The sequence below is a fragment of the Homo sapiens genome, chromosome 8 (assembly GCF_000001405.40).
Source record: "Homo sapiens chromosome 8, GRCh38.p14 Primary Assembly".
In the NCBI taxonomy this organism is placed as follows: Eukaryota; Metazoa; Chordata; class Mammalia; order Primates; family Hominidae; genus Homo; species Homo sapiens.
In genome coordinates, this window is record NC_000008.11 from 43,077,140 (window position 1) to 43,094,870 (window position 17,731).

Sequence of the window (17,731 nt, forward strand, 5' to 3'; positions counted from 1 at the left end):
GTAGTTTTAATTTATTTTTTATTCATAAATAATGGGACATTTCTAATTGGATGATTTTTCTAAATTTTTCCTTTAGGAATTTAAACTTTGGGATAATGAGCTGCAGTATGTGGACCAACTTCTGAAAGAGGATGTGAGAAATAACTCTGTCTGGAACCAAAGATACTTCGTTATTTCTAACACCACTGGCTACAATGATCGTGCTGTATTGGAGAGAGAAGTCCAGTTAGTAATCTCCTTCACTTGCTCATTCGTTACAAACATGTTTGCATGCCTACCATATCTCAGGCACTGGGGATACAGCAGATCAAGATCCTACCCCATGGAACTAAAAGAGGACAGAGTACTGAGTGGAACATAGGATGATAGATTTACAAATAATGTAGCATACTTCTACTTCATTGTATCTTAAGTTTCTTGAAATATTGCTACTGGAGATTGGAAAGAAATCTTAATGTTATGGGGTATTGTCTAAGAAGCTTTATTTTAAAACCATCTCATTAAATTTTGTTGCATTTTAGATAATCGTCCCCAGATGCCATGTTACCCTAGTGCAGAGTTTGGGGCTGGATAAGTTTTTGTTGTAGGTGGCTATCCTGTGTTTTGTAGGGTATTTAGCAGCATCCTGGCCTTAAAACAAAAATGTTTTCAGACATTGCCAAATGTCCCCCGAGCGGTAAAGTCACCCCCAAGTTGAGAACCGCTCTATACAAAGAGCTGTTATTAGAGCTAGACATTTCTGAATTGGCATCAATTTCTATATTGTATCCATAAACATTAGTAGCCACGATTTTTGTGACCTTATTTGTCCATTGTGTCTGAGTGTCTGTTTTACAATTTGAACAGGCTTGTTGTTTTCAGAGCCTGATGAGATGGGAGTCATAATTTTAGTGTAAATGTGTTTGAACAACTGTTGAGTGGAGCTGATTTGTATAGTGCATCTCCTCTCTTCCAAGCTCTTGATTTTGCCTGGATCGAGGCAGCTTGCTCTTCTTTTATCTGCTCTATACAGGATTCTGGTGACTTAAAATTTATAAAAGGCTTTAATCCATGTCTCACCTTAACACTCTGCTCTGGGCTTTTGTCTGGAGCGTGCACTACCCCTCAAGCACACTTCATGCTTTTTTTCTAGTGCTCTCCTATATAAAGCTGTACAGGCATACCTGGTTTTTTGAGCCTTGTATATATTATGTTTTTTTTTTTTGTTTGTTTTTTGTTTTTTTTAACAAGTTGAAGCATCTTGAGCAATCTTGAGTTGAGCATGTCTTCATTGCCATTCTTTCTAACAGCATGTGCTCACTTGTGTCTCCGTGTCACATTTTGGTACTCCTCAGTATTTCACATTTTTTCATAATCATTATATCTGTTCCAGTGATTTGTGATCAGTCATCTTTGATCAGTCATCTATTGTAATTGTTTGGGGGTGCCACTAACTGCACCCATATAAAACAGAGAATATCACTGTTGCATGTGTTCCACCATCTCTCTCCCTCACCTCAGGCCTCCCTATTCCCTGAGACACAACAATATTGAAATTAAGCCAATTAACCCTACAGTGTCCTCTGAGTGTTCAAGTGAAAGGAAGAGTCACAGCCTCTCACTTTAAATCAAAAGCCAGAAGTGATTAAGCTTAGTGAGGAACACATATCAAAAGCTGAGATAGGTCCAAAGCTAGGCCTCTTGCACCAAACACCAAACTCATAAGAAAGAGTTCTTGAAGGAAATTAAAAGTGCTGCTCCAGTGAACACCTGGACAAAACAGCATTATTGCTGGTATAGAGAAAGTTTGAGTGGCCTGGATAAAAGATAAAACCAGCCACAACATTCCCTTAAGCCAAAGCCTAATCCAGAGGAAGCCCTAATTCTCTTTAATTTGATGAAGGCTGAGAGAAGTGAGGAAGCTGCAGAAGAAAACTTGGATGCTAGCAGAGGTTGGTTCATGAGGTATAAGAAAGAAGCCATCTCCATAGCATGGAAGTGCAAGGTGAAGCAGCAAGTGCTGCTGGAGAAGCTGCAGTGAGTTTTCCAGATCCCGCTCAGATCACTAATGAAGGTGGCTGCATGTAAACAGAAGATTTTCAGTGTAGATGAAACAGCCTTCTATTGGAAGAAGATGCCATCTAAGACTTTTCATAGCTAGAGAGAAGGCACTGCTTCAAAGCTTCACACAGCTGGCTGAATCTTGTTAGGGCCCAATGCAGCTGGTGACTTGAAGTTGAAACCAGTGTTCGGTGATGATTCTGGAAATCTTAGGGCCCTTAAGAATTATGCTGAATCTCCTCTGCCTGTGCTCTATAAATGGAACAACAAAGCCTGGATGACAGCACATCTGTTTACAGCATGGTTTACTGAATATTTTAAGCCCTCTTTGAGGTCTGTTGTTCAGAAAAATTTCTTGGAAAATATGATTGTTCATGGACAACGGACCTCATCACCCAAGAGCTCTAATGGAGATGTGCAAGGAGATGCTGTTTTCATGCCTGCGAACACAACATCCATTCTGCAGCCCATGGATAAAGGAGTCATTTTGATTTTAAAGTCTCACTATTTAAGAAATAAATTTTGTAAGGCTATGAGCTACCATAGATAGTGATTCCTCCAATGAATCTGCAGAGTCAATTGAAAACCTTCTGGGAAGAATTTACCATTCTAGGTGCTATTAGGAATATTCGTGATTCATAGGAGGAGGTCAGAATACCAACATTAACAGGAGTTTGGAAGAAGTTGATTCCAGCCCTCATGGATGACTTTGAGGGGTTCAAGACTTTAGAGGAAGAAGGAACTGCTGCTGTGGTGGAAACAGCAAGGAAACTAGAATTAGAAGTGGAGCCTGAAGATGTGACCGAACTGCTGCATCAAGACAATACTTGATCAGATGAGGAGTCGCTTCTTATGGATGAGCAAAAGAAGTGGTTTCTCAAGATGGAATCTAATCCTGGCAACGACGTTGTGAAATGACATTGTTGAAATGACAACAAAGGATTTTAAATATTGTAAATATTACCTGAACTTAGTTGATAAAGCAGCAGGATATATGAGAGGATTGACTCCAGTTTTGAAAAGTTTTACTGTGAGTAAAATGCTATCAGACAGCATCACATGCTACAGAGAAATCTTTTATTGTTGTCTTATTTTAAGAAATTGCCACAGCCATCTCATCCTTCAGCACCCAGCACCCTACCCTGATCAGTCAGCAGCCATCAACATGGAGGCCAGACCCTCCACCAGCAGAAAGATTACGACTTGCTGAAGGCTCAGATGATCATTAGCATTTTTTAGCAATAAAGTATTTTTTAATTGAGGTATGTACATTGTTTTTTTAGATATGATGCTATTGCATACTAGACTACAATATAGTGTAAACATAATTTATATGTGCTGGGAAAAAGAAAAGTCGTGTGACTTGCTTAATTGTGATAAAATTGCTTTACTGAACCTTCCATATCTGCAAGGTATTCCTGTATTGTTCAGTATGGTAGCTACTAGCCACATATGGCTATTTAAGTTTCAATCGGTATGATTATAAAAAATTAAAAATACAATTATTTCATTGCACATGTCCTATTTTGGGCGTTCAGTACGTACATGTGGCTAGTGACTACCATATTGGACAGCACATACAAAACATTTGCATCATCACTGGCAGTTTTATTGAACATTATTCGTCTAAAGATTGACAGTAGTTAGCGGTAACAAAGCATTTTAAAAATTGAATATGAAGAGTTTTCAAAATGCAAACGTTTAGCCTTTTCAGAGGCAGATCACTGGCTTCCTGTTGCCAAATAGAAACAGAAATAATTACCCAAGAATCTAAAAGAGCTTCCTATACTTAGGATTTATTTTCCTTTTAAGATGGGTAAAAGAAGTATTTAAAATGTGAAGAGTAGCTGTAGGTATCTAGAATTTACAGTTTGTTAAATTTTTTTTAACTCTAAGCATACACAGATAGATGTACATAATTATTTTTGTCATTTTTTTCTTTTTATTATAAAAGTAATGCAATGTAGTTATGGGGGGGGAAATTGTACTAAATTCTATAAAGTAAAAAGTCAAAGTCTTTTACTGTTCTTCATCCCACATCCCATTTTCCAGAGTGAGCTATAATTGGGTGAATTTTTCCAAACTTTATAAATACACTTGCAAACATTTATACACAGCAACCTAGATAATAATGTTACAGGCATTGCCTTTTCAGTTAATGTGTCATGGCCCTTTTTCTAGACTATGAGTGCATAGTCTTCTAGTACTACCAATAACAGCATTTATCAAGCATTTACTATATGCCACTAATTCTAACAGCTCTGTGAGACACTTCATGAAGAACTTGAGGTTCCAGGTAATTCTGTAATTTGCCCAAGAGCACATAATTTATGGGACCAGGATTTGAAGCGAGGCAGCCTGACCTCAAAGTTCATCGGTCTTTTTGTTTGTTTGTTTTCCTAAGAGACAGGGTTTCACTCTGTCACCCAGGCTGGAGTGCAGTGACGGATCATAGCTCACTGCTGCCTTGAGCTCCTGAGCTGAAGGAATCCTCCCACCTCAGCCTGCGAGTAGCTGGGACTACAGGCATGTGCCACTGCATCCAGCTAATTGTTAAAATTTTTTGTAGCGATGAGGTCTCACTATGTTGCCCAGACTGGTCTTGATCTCCTGGCCTCAAGCAGTCTTCCCGCTTTGATCTCTGAAAGTGCTGGGATTACAGATGTGAGCCACCATGCCCAGCTAAAGTTCATGTTTTAACCATAAAAATAGGTAATGCTTTAGTACACATGTATGTAAATAAAAATTTAGATATTGCCAAAATGAAATTAAGAATCTTAAACAAGGACCAGCTAAGACCTGCGGGGACATGGTTTCGCAAATAATTGGAAACATTAAGTCATGTAAAAGTAGTTGGAAAAGTATTTTTATAATGTTGAATGAGTTTATTATTACTCTGTGGAAAAAAAAAAATTATAGTAACAGCACTGCAGCAGAACCAAGACTACCAAGCTTTAGTCAGTGACTTACTCATCTGAGCAATTATGTGGTAAAGCAAGTTCTGTGGCTTCCTTGGGATTTGTGATAATTGAGTCTGAATTATATTTAATCTGTTTAAGGGGAAGATAAAGGTATGGAGCACCCATTTTGACAGGGAATCACATCACAGTTTACTAGTCATCTTGCTTTGGAATATAAGAAATACATTCTTGTGTTGATTTTTCATTTTTATTCTTTGCCTATGTAATTTCCATGCCATTTTTTAATGATAGCTAAAGATTATGTAAATTCTCCTATTTCAGTGACTAGGGATTTGTTGGGACGTAAGTAGAGCTTAGACTGTTTCCCCAAGGTTGCTTTACCAATAAATGGAAAGTTTCCTTCTTTTAGCTGATGTTTCCTTCAAAAGGAAAATCTTCCATATTATTTAAAGGAAATATTTTATGTTCCTTTTTTTCCTATTGTGAATTGAAGCTTTTAGATTAGTTTTGTGTCCTTCCCTAGAACTGAATTGACAGCTGCAGCCTTAAGGGATTCTCGTGATTTAAATATGACTGAGAGAGGTGCCACAGTACACTAAGAAACGCTGACACAAGTGAAAGTGTGTTTACAAAGCTGTGCCACAGTCTTAGTAAAACTGTGTCTTGGCCGGGCGCAGTGGCTCATGCCTATAATCCCAGCACTTTGGGAGGCCGAGGCAGGCGGATCACAAGGTCAGGAGTTCAAGACCAGTCTGGCCAATATGGTGAAACCCTGTCTCTACTAAAAATACAAAAATTAGCTGGGTGTGGTGGTGGGCGCCTGTAGTCCCAGCTACTCGGGAGGCTGAGGCAGGAGTATGACTTGAACCTGGGAGGCGGAGGTTGCAGTGAGCTGAGATTGTGCCACTGCACTCCAGCCTGGGTGACAGAGCAAGACTCCGTTTCAGAAAAAAAAAAAAACTGTGTCTCATCATTGCACTGTTCTTTTAAAATTGTATATATATATTTTTCTTGCAGATACACTCTGGAAATGATTAAACTAGTACCACATAATGAAAGTGCATGGAACTATTTGAAAGGGTAAGAGGTTGTTTTTGCTTTTTTTATATATAAAAAAGAAGTGGCTATATGATGCATCATGGAGTGTATTCCATAATCAGATTCCAAAAGGATAGTAAATAATTTTTCATTTTTCTGAACCTAAGAGCAGAAGTATAACAGCATTATGGAAACTCTCTGGGAGTTTGCCCTTCTATGCACCTCCCAAGTACCTACCAACACTGTTTTCAGAATAATCCACCAGTAAATAATGCCATTTTAATTGTATTTAAGAATCCTGTAGTCTTTATATCAAAGAATGGAACACACACACCCCCAGGCTCTAGTTGGCTCAGGAACACAGTAAAGCGGGGTAGTTTACAGGTAGATTTTGCCAGTGGGCAGCCAACCTTTCTGTTTTCATTTCTAGAGATCTCCGCCTTCAGGTTAACCTACTCCTCAACTAGAAAAGGTTTCACTTGCCTGGCCACTGACGTAACTAAGCTCCTTGTTGAACATAAGAGGTCTTCAAGGAAACTAGGCTCAAAGAGCACAAAGTATGGAACCAGTTACCCTTGGAGATGTGTCAGGGGAGGTGCCTGTAGTATTTGGAGAGCTCGAGGGATGAGAAGCCATCTCAAGAGAAGACGAGGGCTGGGCATGTTAGCTCATGCCTGCAATCCCAGCACTTTGGGAGGCCAAGATGGGCGGATTACTTGAGGCTAGGAGGTCGAGACCAGCCTGGCCAACATGGCAAAACCCCGTCTCTACTAAAAATATACAAATTAGCTGAGCATGTTGGTGCACACCTGTAATCCCAGCTACTTGGGAGGCTGAAGCACGAGAGTTGCTTGAACCTGGAGGTGGAGGTCAGAGTGAGCCAAGATCACACCACTGTGCCCCAGCCTGGGCGACAAGAGACCCTGTCTCAAAGAAAAAAAAAAAAGAAGAACATCTCTCCTGGTTTTGTCCTTCACTTTTTAAGATGATTTATTTTGTGTGTTGTACAGTTTAAGTTATAAATGAACACTTTTAAACTTCATTTTTAAAAACTTTTTCTACTTAGCTTGTAATTATCCTTTTTTTTTTTTTTTTTTTGGAGACAGGATCTCACTCTGTTGCCTAGGCTGGAGGGCAGTGGCATGATCGTGGCCCACTGCAGTCTCGATCTCCTAGGCTCTAGTGATTCTCCCACCTCAGCCTCCCAAGTAGCTGAGACTATAGGTGCCACCACTAGGCATGGCTGATTTTTAAAAAAATTTTAGTAGAGACGAGATCTTGCTATTTTACCCAGGCTGGTCTTGAACTCCTGGGTTCAAGTGTTCCTCCTGCCTCTGTTTCCCAGAGTGTTTCCCAGGCATGAGCCACTGCACCTGGCCAGCTCTTAATTAACTAATGATCTATGATAAGACTCATGTAATTTAAAAGTTTCATTATAGTTTCAGCGTCATTCATTCAAAATAACTCTCCTTTTCTTGTTTGTGTTTCAGGGTTTATTTTCTCTTGATCTTTCTACTGCTTTTGTTCTTCCTTCACAAAATCAAGTCTTTGTTTTTTGTTGTTGTTTACAGGATTTTGCAGGATCGTGGTCTTTCCAAATATCCTAATCTGTTAAATCAATTACTTGATTTACAACCAAGTCATAGTTCCCCCTACCTAATTGCCTTTCTTGTGGATATCTATGAAGACATGCTAGAAAATCAGTGTGACAATAAGGAAGACATTCTTAATAAAGCATTAGAGGTAAGCTGGTGGGGCTCAGTGCTGTCATTTTTGGTATCTCAGAATTGATCTGCCCAATACCACTAATATCCATGTCCCCTTTCAACATCGTTCCTCAGAATTCAGTGCAGGGCTATTTCTGGTTAGGGGCAGCATTGACATCACTTGGCAACACAGCCGGTGACTCTTAATAGTGTGTCTTCATTTGAATGTGATTTGAGTTAAATTGTATTGGCTCAAAGGCATTTGCGCTTGAAATTGAATTACATATTACTTTAATTTTTATTTTTCATTTTCAGTTATGTGAAATCCTAGCTAAAGAAAAGGACACTATAAGAAAGGAATATTGGAGATACATTGGAAGATCCCTTCAAAGCAAACACAGCACAGAAAATGACTCACCAACAAATGTACAGCAATAACACCATCCAGAAGAACTTGATGGAATGCTTTTATTTTTTATTAAGGGACCCTGCAGGAGTTTCACACGAGAGTGGTCCTTCCCTTTGCCTGTGGTGTAAAAGTGCATCACACAGGTATTGCTTTTTAACAAGAACTGATGCTCCTTGGGTGCTGCTGCTACTCAGACTAGCTCTAAGTAATGTGATTCTTCTAAAGCAAAGTCATTGGATGGGAGGAGGAAGAAAAAGTCCCATAAAGGAACTTTTGTAGTCTTATCAACATATAATCTAATCCCTTAGCATCAGCTCCTCCCTCAGTGGTACATGCGTCAAGATTTGTAGCAGTAATAACTGCAGGTCACTTGTATGTAATGGATGTGAGGTAGCCGAAGTTTGGTTCAGTAAGCAGGGAATACAGTCGTTCCATCAGAGCTGGTCTGCACACTCACATTATCTTGCTATCACTGTAACCAACTAATGCCAAAAGAACGGTTTTGTAATAAAATTATAGCTGTATCTAAAAACAATGCCATAGAAGTTTGATTTTTTAATAGCATTGAACTATATATTATACAAGACACATTGTCTCAGCTTAGAAAAGCATTTGAGAAAGAAAATATTGCTATAAAACTGTAAACTAGAAACATGATGTGTTGGAGGAAATGTTAAAATGTAAATTGGTCAGTTCTTGACTGAAAGTGACAAAATCCACTCAAGGTAGTTTAAACCCAAAGGGTTTATTCAGGTTTATAAATATCTCACAGAAGAATTGCCTGATCTTTTAGAAAGACATTCCCAAACCATGCTACACAACTGGACCGTCCCGTTGCTGCTGCCTGTGCCAGAATCAGGAAACTGCTGGATGAGGAGTGAGGAAGCCACGATCCTGGCTGCCAGCTCCAGGACTGTGCTGTGTCTGCACGTTCCACGCAAAGCACATCTGCTGCTTTTCCCATGTAGTGTGGTTCCAAATTAAAGGCTCACTGCAGTGCATCTGATTGGAAGGAACCAACAGGATGTCTTAAAAGCTTAACTGCAGAGGAATCTGGGAAGTGTAGTTTGTAGCTTTCTAGCCTTTTATGATGCAGGACGCCATGCCAGGAAGGAGTTGGGAGTGGTTAGCAAGCTAGCTTGCTGTACCTGCACTTAATCTCACTTTATTTATTTTTATATATTGATTTTTTGTTTACAAGGAGTCCCACTCTGTCACCCAGGCTGGAGTGCAGTGGCGTGATCGCAGCTTACTGCAACCTCCACCGCCCAGGCTCAAGCAATTCTCCTGCCCCACCATCCCGAGTGGCTGGAATTATAGGTGCCCGCCACCATGCCTGGCTAATTTTTGTATTTTTAGTAGAGACGGAGTTTTACCATGTTGGCCAGGCTGGTCATGAACTCCTGACCTCAAGTAATCTGCCTGCATGGGCCTCCCAAAGTGTTGGGATTACAGGCATGAGACACCAGGCCCGGCCTCAGTCTCACTTTATCTGTAATTTTTGTTCAATGTCAAAGCACCAAAATACAACTAAGGAAATCATACAGCGTTACATAGTCATCCTTTCTCAAGATAAATTTAGGAAATAATATTTTAATACTTTTTGAAGAAAATATATGTAGTGTTATTTCTAACATTTTACATGTTTTTGTTATTTTTAGAATCCAAAAATTTCCAGTTTTATTTTTGAAGCTGCCATAAAGTGCCATTTCCATGTAGACCATTTCAAAGGTGTCATAAGGATCAAAAGCTACATAGAAAAGTTCTCATAAGATAGCAATTACTCTCTGCCGGGCACGATGGCTCACGCTTGTAATCCCAGCACTTTGGGAGGCCGAGGCGGGCAGATCATTTGAGGTCAGGAGTTTGAGACCAGCATGGCCAGCATGGTGAAACCCCCATCTCTACTAAAAATTCAAAAGTTAGCCAGGTGTGGTGGCAGGCACCTGTAATCCCAGCTACTTGGGAGGCTGAGACAGGAAAATTGCTTGAACCCAGGAGGTGGAGGTTGCAGTGAGCTAAGATTGTGCCATTACACTCCAGCCTGGGCAATAGAGCGAGACTCAGTCTCAAAAAAAAAAAAAAAAAAGCAATTACTCTCAGAAACTATAATCGGTGACCCAAAACTGATTGGATTTGGGACTTTGGACTCAACAGAGCTCATAGAGACAGCTTAATAAAAAGCATAGTGAGGCCGGGTGGAGTGGCTCATGCCTATAGTACCAGCACTTTGGGAGGCCGAGGCAGGAGGACTGCTTGAGCCCTGGAATTCAAGACCTGCCTGGGCAACAGCAAGATCTCATCTCTACAAAAATATTTTTTAAAGTTATTAGTGAAGAGTGGTGTGCGCCTGTAGTCCCAGCAACCCGGGAGGCTGGGGTGGGAGGATCACTTGAGCCAGGGTGGTCCAGGCTGCAGTGAGCCATGGTCGTGCCACTGCAGCCTGGGTGACAGAGTGAGACTGTGTCTCAAAAACTGTTTAAAAAATGAGTTTGTCATTTCAAGGAAAACAACGGAATGTTGCCAGTGATAAAATGTGAGCTTGCTTGCTTGCTTTTTTTTTTTTTTTTGAGACGGAGTTTCACTCTTGTTGCCCAGGCTGGAGAGCAATGGCATGATCTCGGCTCACCACAACCTCCGCCTCCCGGGTTCAAGCGATTCTCCTGCCTCAACCTCCCAAGTAGCTGGGATTATAGGCGTCCGCCACCACGCCCAGCTAATTTTTTGTATTTTTAGTAGAGACAGGGTTTCCCCATGTTGGCGAGGCTGGTGTTGAACTCCAGACCTCAGGTCATCTACCAGCCTCGGCCTCCCAAAGTGCTGGGATTACAGGCATGAGCCACCGTGCCAGGCCAAAAATGTGAGCTTTCAAGTGACAATTTTAGGCTGGACGTGGTGGCTCATGCCTGTAATCCCAGCACTTTGGGAGGCTGAGGCAGGTGGATCACTTGAGGTCAGGAGTTTGAGACCAGTCTGGCCAATGTAGTGAAACCCCATTTCTACTAAATATACAGAAACTAGCTGGGTGTGGTGGCACGCACCTATAATCCCAGCTACTTGGGGGGCTAAGGCAGGGGAATCACTTGAACCCAGGAGGCGGAGGTTGCAGTGAGCCGAGATTGCACCACTGTACTCCAGCCTGGGCAACAAAGTGAAATTTCATCTCAAAAAAAAAAAAAAAAGTATTAATTCTCAGGGGTTTGGAGAATTTCCTGTTATCTCTGTTATTTCTAGTTGGTTTTATTTTGTTTTAGTGGTACTCCAGGGGTTACAAAATATTCAACTTTTCACAGCCTATTTAGAATATTTTGTCACTTCAGTTGGCATATGGAAACATTACCACCATATGTCTCCTTACCGTTCACCATTTCTTACATTGAAAACCCCATCAGAGGCTGGGCGCGGTGGCTCACGCCTGTAATCCCAGCACTTTGAAGACCGAGGCGGGCGGATCACGAGGTCAGGAGATCGAGACCATCGTGGATAACACGGTGAAACCCCATCTCTACTAAAAATACAAAAAATTAGCCGGGCATGGTGGCGGGCGCCTGTAGTCCCAGCTACTCGGGAGGCTGAGCCAGGAGAATGGCGTGAACCCGGGAGGCAGAGCTTGCAGTGAGCCGAGATCGCACCACTGCACTCCAGCCTGGGTGACAGAGTGAGACTCTGTCTCAAAAAAAAAACAGAAAAAAAAAGACAAAAAAAAAAAAAAAAAAACAAAAACCCATCAGATAATCTTATAATACTTTTGTATTAAACCACCAAACATATTTTAAAGAACTCAAGAAAAGAAGGAGAGTGTATCGCATTTACCCAGTTATTTATATTCTCTGTTATTCTTTCATTTCTGTTATTCTGTCCAAAGAACTTTCTCTTTTTTTTGAGATGGAGTCTCACTCTGTCGCTTAGGCTGGAGTGCAGTGGCGTGATCTCAGATCACTGCAAACTTTGCCTCCCAGGTTCAAGCAACCTCAGTGCCTCAGCCTTGCCAGTAGCTGGGATTACAGGCACGTGCCACCACGCCCAGCTGATTTTTGTATTTTTAGTAGAGATGGGATTTCACCATATTGGCCAGGCTGGTCTCGAACTCCTGACCTCGGGTGATCTGCCCGCCTCAGCCTCCCAAAGTGCTGGGATTACAGGCTTGAGCCACCAAAGAACTCTTTTAGCAGTTCTGTTAGAGTAGGTCTGCAGGCTACAAATTCTCTTAGTTTTCCTTCATCTTAGTTTATTTCAAGGTTATTCCTGAAGGATGTTTTCACTGCATATGGAATTCTGGGCTTGCAATTCTTTTCTTTCAGCACTTGAAAAACGTTGTGCCACTTTGGTCTTCATGATCTCAGAGGATAAATTCACTGTCATTAGGATTGTGGGTCACCTACAGCTCGTGGCATTTCTCTTTGGCTGTTTTCAATTTTTTTTCCTTGTCTTTATTTTTCAGCAGTTTGATTTTGATGTGTCTGGGCATGGATGTCTTTGGATTTATTGCATTTGGGGTTTGCTCAGTTTTTTGAATCTGTAGGTTGGTGTTTCTTTCCCAAACTTGGGAAGTTTTCAGCCATTATTTCTTCAAAAGCTTTTTAGTGCTTTCTTTCTCATCTGCTTTGGGATTCTGATGGCATAAATATTAGACCTTTTGTTATGTCCCACAGGTGCTTGAAGTTTTATTAATTTTCCCCTCCTCTCTGTTGGTCAGTTTGGATAATTTCTATTAATCTGTCTTCATGTTCACTGACTCCTCTGTCATTTCCATTCTGCCATTGAATCTATCCAGTGAGTTTTAAAATTTGATTATTGTACTTTTCTATTTTAAATGTTTATTTGGTTCCTCTTACTTTCTCCAAGTTTTTTACTCATACTTTCTTTTTTAAAATTATTATTTTTTATTTGTTTGAGACAGAGTCTCGCTCGGTGGCCCAGGCTGGAGTACAATGGCACGATCTCGGCTCACTGCAACCTCCACCTCCCAGGTACAAGCGATTCTCCTGCCTCAGCCTCCTGAGTGCACCTGCCACCATGTCCGGCTAATTTTTGTATTTTTAATAGAGACAGGGTTTCACCATGTTAGCCAGGCTGGTCTCGAACTCCTGATCTCAAGTGATTCGCCTGCCTCAGCCTCTCAAAGTCTTGGGATTACAGGCGCGAGCCACTGTGCCCAGCCCCATACTTTCTATTTTAACTTTTGTTTCAAGAATGTTTATAATTTTTTGAGCATTTTCATAACTAATGTCTTTTTCAGATAATCCTAACAGTCATTTTATAGTTGGTGACTCTTGATTATCTTTTCCCATGCAAGTTGAGATTTTTGTGATGGTTCATATGCCTAGCAATTTTGTATCCTGAGCATTTTGAATATTATGAGGCTCTAATTCTTGTTTAAATCCTATGGAGAATGTTGGCATTTTAATTTTTTTTTTTTGAGAAGGAGTCTTGCTCTGTCACTCAGGCTAGAGTGCAGTGCTGTGATCTGGGCTCACTGAAACCTCTGCCTCCTGGGTTCAAGTGATTCTTGTGCCTCAACCTTCCGGGCAGTTGGGATTACAGGCATCCGCCACCATGCCCGGCTATTTTTTTTTTTTTTTTTTTTTTAAGTAGAGACCGGGTTCCACCATGTTTACCAGGCTGGTCTCAAACTCCTAACCTCAGGTGATCTGCCCTCCCTAAGTGCTGGGATTACAGGTGTGAGCTACCGCGCCTGGCCAACAGTTTAATTTAAGCAAGCACATGAACTAGTTAGGGACAGCCTGCAGGTTCCGATCTTCTTCTGGGGTTCATGTTCCAAAGTGAGTTCTGTGTTCATACCCTCTGTGGGGCTATTTGGATCTGTCTCGTGGCTGCATCCTCCCGTAGTTTGGTACCTGAACAAAAATCTGTTCATGAGCACAGTTCTCTGAGTGTTTGGTGTGCTCGTTAAGTCGATGATACGCAGGTCAGCGATGAGCCCAAGAGTTCAAAAACAACTCTGTGAGGTTGCTTGCCAGATGCTCTCACCTTCCGCTATCTTCTCAGTGTTTTTAGGTTCCCTCAGGTTTCAGTGCGCTGGTCTGAAACTTCCCACTTTCAGTTTGGCTTGGGGGAGCTGCCCACTTCCACAATTGTGCCACAGCAGTGGGAAACAGTTAAAAACAACAAAACACCAAGTTTGTGTCTGTCCTCTTGGAGCTGCAGTGCTACTGAATGGAAAGGACTATCTCTTTCCCTCAGACTTTTGGCTGCTGAAGCTTTTTGCTCTGGCCTTGGGCTTGACTGGGGGCTGGAGTGCAAAGAAAAGAAGAAAATAGAAAGAACAGGGAATTTTCTTCACTCCCTCTGAGGGTTAGGAGTTTCCTTTTCTGCTCCACGAGCCAGAATCAGAGGGTTTCTCCCGAGTCTCTGTGTGTGCCCCCGACACTCAGTTCCAGGCTTTGGACTACCTTCAGCTTGAAGATGGGTGACACAACCAGTTTGATGGTGCGTCAAATTCTGCTGTTCTTTTTATTTTTAATTTTTTGTTTGAATTTAATTCCTCTAATTTTTCATCAGTGTTAAAATTTCACCTTTTCCCAGCACCCCCAAAAAGCCTGTGGGCACAAAATGGTGGCCACGTGGCAAAGAACTCAGCAAGGAGAGCTGCTGGTTGGTTTCTATCTTTGTTTGTTTGAGACGGAGCTTTGCTCTTTTGCCCAGGCTAGAGTGAAGTTGTTGGGGAAACCAGCCCCACACCACCCGGCGGGTACCCCGAGTCCAGCGAAGACAAAGGAATTAGAATAAGAGTTTAAAAGGCGGGTCCGGGGGACCGGAGCGTTGGAGGCTTGCTCACGGCCCCGAGCTCTCGGCCTCCACCCAATTTATTGGTGTATATTCACACTGTTGTGCAACCATCACCCCCATCCATCTCCAGGACTTTACCATCTTCTCACACTGAAACTGTGCACCCGTTAGTATTTTTCATGGCTATGTGGATGTAATATAATTTCTTTCAGAAACCCCTATTGTTATACATTCAGGTTTCTTTTTTTCTCTATTATAAATATCTTTTATCAGCAATGCTTCAGCAAGATCTCTTGTGCATACATCTTGCAGACATATTATTTCTTTTTCTTTTTTTTTTTTTTTTTTTTTGAGACGGAGTCTCGCTCTGTCACCCAGGCTGGAGTACAGTGGCGCGATCTCGGCTCACTGCAAGCTCCGCCTCCCGGGTTCACGCCATTCTCACGCCCGCCACCATGCCCGGCTAATTTTTTGTATTTTTAGTAGAGACGGGGTTTCACCGTGTTATCCAGGATGGTCTCGGTCTCCTGACCTCGTGATCCGCCCACCTCGGCCTCCCAAAGTCCTGGGATTACAGGCATGAGCCACGGCGCCCGGCCACAGACGTTATTTCTGAAGGATAAATTCCTAGAAATGGATTTGCTAGGGCACGTAGGAGGAATTCCAATTTACACTCACTTGTATGTGTGAGGAAACTTTCAGACTCTACTGTAACGACAGGAGGTATTACCGCTGTTTGTCCATGTGATAGGCAAACGTTTCTGTTAATTTTAATACTGTTTGGATAGCTAGTACCGGCTCAGTTTTTTTAACCCACACCATGTTACTGTCTTGATTCTGGACTTTCGCAGTGTGTCAGTGTAGAAGCAGCTAACGCTTCCGATGTACACAACCTAGACGTTCCATGACCCAGCTGACTTCGATGCTGCAAGCCTCCCTTTCGGTTTCCCGGAGCAAGCGCCCGAGTGCGTGTTGGGCTCCCGGCAGGGCTCCTGGCCGGCCCTCGACGGACTTCCCCGCCTTTGCCCAGTCCTGCCCCTCCGCGGAGGCTTGCCAAGGTCTTGTCTGCTGCGCTTGATGTGTGCAGCTCAGCTTTACTGCGTCTAGGCTAAGCCCCACAGTTTCTTTTACAGAGCGATTGTCCAACTTCAGGCATCTGGGTCCCCGAGTGGCGGGTCTGGGCCGGAGCTGGGAATCAGCCTTTCCAGCAAGGTCCCTGCAGATGCCGCGGGTCTGAGGACTACGCTTTGGAAGGCCTCGCAGTGCGTCTAGATCTGACAGCTGCTCTGCATGAGCCTGGCTCCAGGCTGAAGCAATAGTCGGTCAACACAAAATCGTTCTCCCAAGTTAGGGAAGCAGAAGCCAGACAGGGAGACTGGGTAGGTGCGCGCTGGTACCGCCGCGGCGTTCGCTCCGGCTTCAGTGCACGGCCGGAGGAGGACGCCAGGGGGCAGCAGCGCCACGCTCACCCGCCCAGGACGCGCTTCCGAACGCGCAAGCGCAGTAGGCCCAGTGCGTGCTGGCCCGGGGTGGCAGGAGCCGCAGAGGCTTGGGCTGCAGGTAGGTGCTGCGGCGAGGGGTGAGAGGGCGAAGGGGCGAGGGGGCGTGCAGCTGGGTTTCCCGGGGGACCCTGTACGTGGCCTGGGCCGCACCCCCCGCAGCCCCGGCCGCCTGCCCGCGGCCTGTCCGGAGGCTCCCTAGGAGGCTGCGCTGGGCCTGAGCGGCCGTGTCCACCGCGCCCAGCCCCTATCTCCGCGTCCACCCCTGCGCGGTAGCGGGACGTTAAAGAACCAGAGAAGGGCCCGGCGAGGTGGCTCCAGCCTGTAATCCCAGCGCTTTGGGAGGCCGAGGCGGGAGGATCGCGTGAGCTCAGGCGAGAGCAGCCTGGGCAACATGGCGGAACTTCTGTCTCCGTAAAAAAGCACTTAGCCGGGCGCGGTGGCGCCGCCTATAGTCTTATCTACTCCGGAGGCTGAGGCGGGAGAATGCTTGAACCCGGCGGGGGCGGAGGTTTCAGTGAGCCGAAATCGCGCCACTGCACTTCAGCCTGGGGGCCAGAGTGAGAGGCTGTTTCTATTATTATTACTTTATCATTATTATTATTATTTGAGACGGAGTCTCGCTCTGTCGCCCAGGCTGGAGTGTAGTGGCGCGGTCTTGGCTCCTGGGATTACAGGCGTCCGCCACCACGCCCGGCTAATTTTTGTATTTTTAGTAGAAACGGGGTTTCCCCATGTTGGTCAGGCTGGTCTCGAACGCCTGACCTCAGGTGATCCGCCCGCCTCTGCCTCCCAAAGTGCTGGGATTACAGGCGTGAGCTACTGGGTCCGGCAGAGGCTGTCTCTGTTTAAAAAAACAAAAACCAAACCAAACCAAAACAAAACAAAAAACAAAAAAACCAGAAAGGACCGAGGACTCTGTCTCAGCTCTTTGCCTTTGGGTGTTTATTCTGCACGAGATCATTGTTGCCAGGAGGTGTTAAGTGTAATCATATTCTCTTTTTTTTAGAAAGCAAAATTTCGCTGTTTTGTTGCATAATCTTGTCTTTGCCACCCTTTGCCTTTGCTATAGAACCTTAAGGCTAAATAAGCGTTCAGAATATTTAAAATAATCCTCTTAATGTACCTTGTGCTTTATTGGCGCAATGGAATTCTACTCTAAACTGTATTGGATGACATTACTCTGTGTCTTCCCTAGTTGTAGAAAATATCTTGTAAGTCGGTAAAAACTAGTTTTGTCCCTTTGCTTTTCTTTTCTTTTTAAGCTGTAAATGTGGAGCAGTGGGTCCCAAGCCTTTCTCTATCAATAAGCCTTCCTATCAGTGTCAGAAATGCTTTGCATTTCAGTCGTGCCTGAATTTCTTCTGC

The 17,731-nt window shown here is 43.3% G+C and overlaps 2 protein-coding genes across 4 annotated transcripts in view, besides 4 other annotated features; both read left to right on the top strand.

The window, feature by feature from the left end:
• FNTA (farnesyltransferase, CAAX box, subunit alpha) overlaps nt 1-8,646 on the top strand; it is a 29,463-nt gene extending 20,817 nt beyond the window's left edge. For both annotated transcript variants that reach the window (NR_033698.2, NM_002027.3), the window contains 4 exons: nt 77-225; nt 5,979-6,041; nt 7,571-7,742; nt 8,021-8,646. Coding sequence is in view for 1 of the 2 variants with exons in the window: in NM_002027.3 (NP_002018.1) it covers nt 77-225; nt 5,979-6,041; nt 7,571-7,742; nt 8,021-8,143 (507 nt within the window). In the remaining variant the exon portion in view is untranslated. The remainder of the gene's footprint in view (nt 1-76; nt 226-5,978; nt 6,042-7,570; nt 7,743-8,020) is intronic.
• Nucleotides 13,816-14,005: an enhancer, noted in NCBI's record as "active region_27321". NCBI's record gives its function as "activates an Ori minimal core promoter by ATAC-STARR-seq in GM12878 lymphoblastoid cells {active_cell/tissue: GM12878}" and the evidence as "EXISTENCE:reporter gene assay evidence [ECO:0000049][PMID:35858748]".
• Nucleotides 15,340-16,246: an enhancer, noted in NCBI's record as "H3K27ac-H3K4me1 hESC enhancer chr8:42947622-42948528 (GRCh37/hg19 assembly coordinates)". NCBI's record gives its function as "activates a minimal SCP1, AML or CMV promoter by ChIP-STARR-seq in naive and primed H9 embryonic stem cells {active_cell/tissue: H9 hESC(naive and primed)}" and the evidence as "EXISTENCE:reporter gene assay evidence [ECO:0000049][PMID:30033119]".
• Nucleotides 16,247-17,152: an enhancer, noted in NCBI's record as "H3K27ac-H3K4me1 hESC enhancer chr8:42948529-42949434 (GRCh37/hg19 assembly coordinates)". NCBI's record gives its function as "activates a minimal SCP1, AML or CMV promoter by ChIP-STARR-seq in primed H9 embryonic stem cells {active_cell/tissue: H9 hESC(primed)}" and the evidence as "EXISTENCE:reporter gene assay evidence [ECO:0000049][PMID:30033119]".
• POMK (protein O-mannose kinase) overlaps nt 16,376-17,731 on the top strand; it is a 29,920-nt gene continuing 28,564 nt past the window's right edge. For both annotated transcript variants that reach the window (NM_032237.5, NM_001277971.2), the window contains exon 1: nt 16,376-16,424. The gene's annotated coding sequence lies outside the window, so the exon portion shown is untranslated. The remainder of the gene's footprint in view (nt 16,425-17,731) is intronic.
• Nucleotides 16,404-16,613: a silencer, noted in NCBI's record as "silent region_19163". NCBI's record gives its function as "represses an Ori minimal core promoter by ATAC-STARR-seq in GM12878 lymphoblastoid cells {active_cell/tissue: GM12878}" and the evidence as "EXISTENCE:reporter gene assay evidence [ECO:0000049][PMID:35858748]".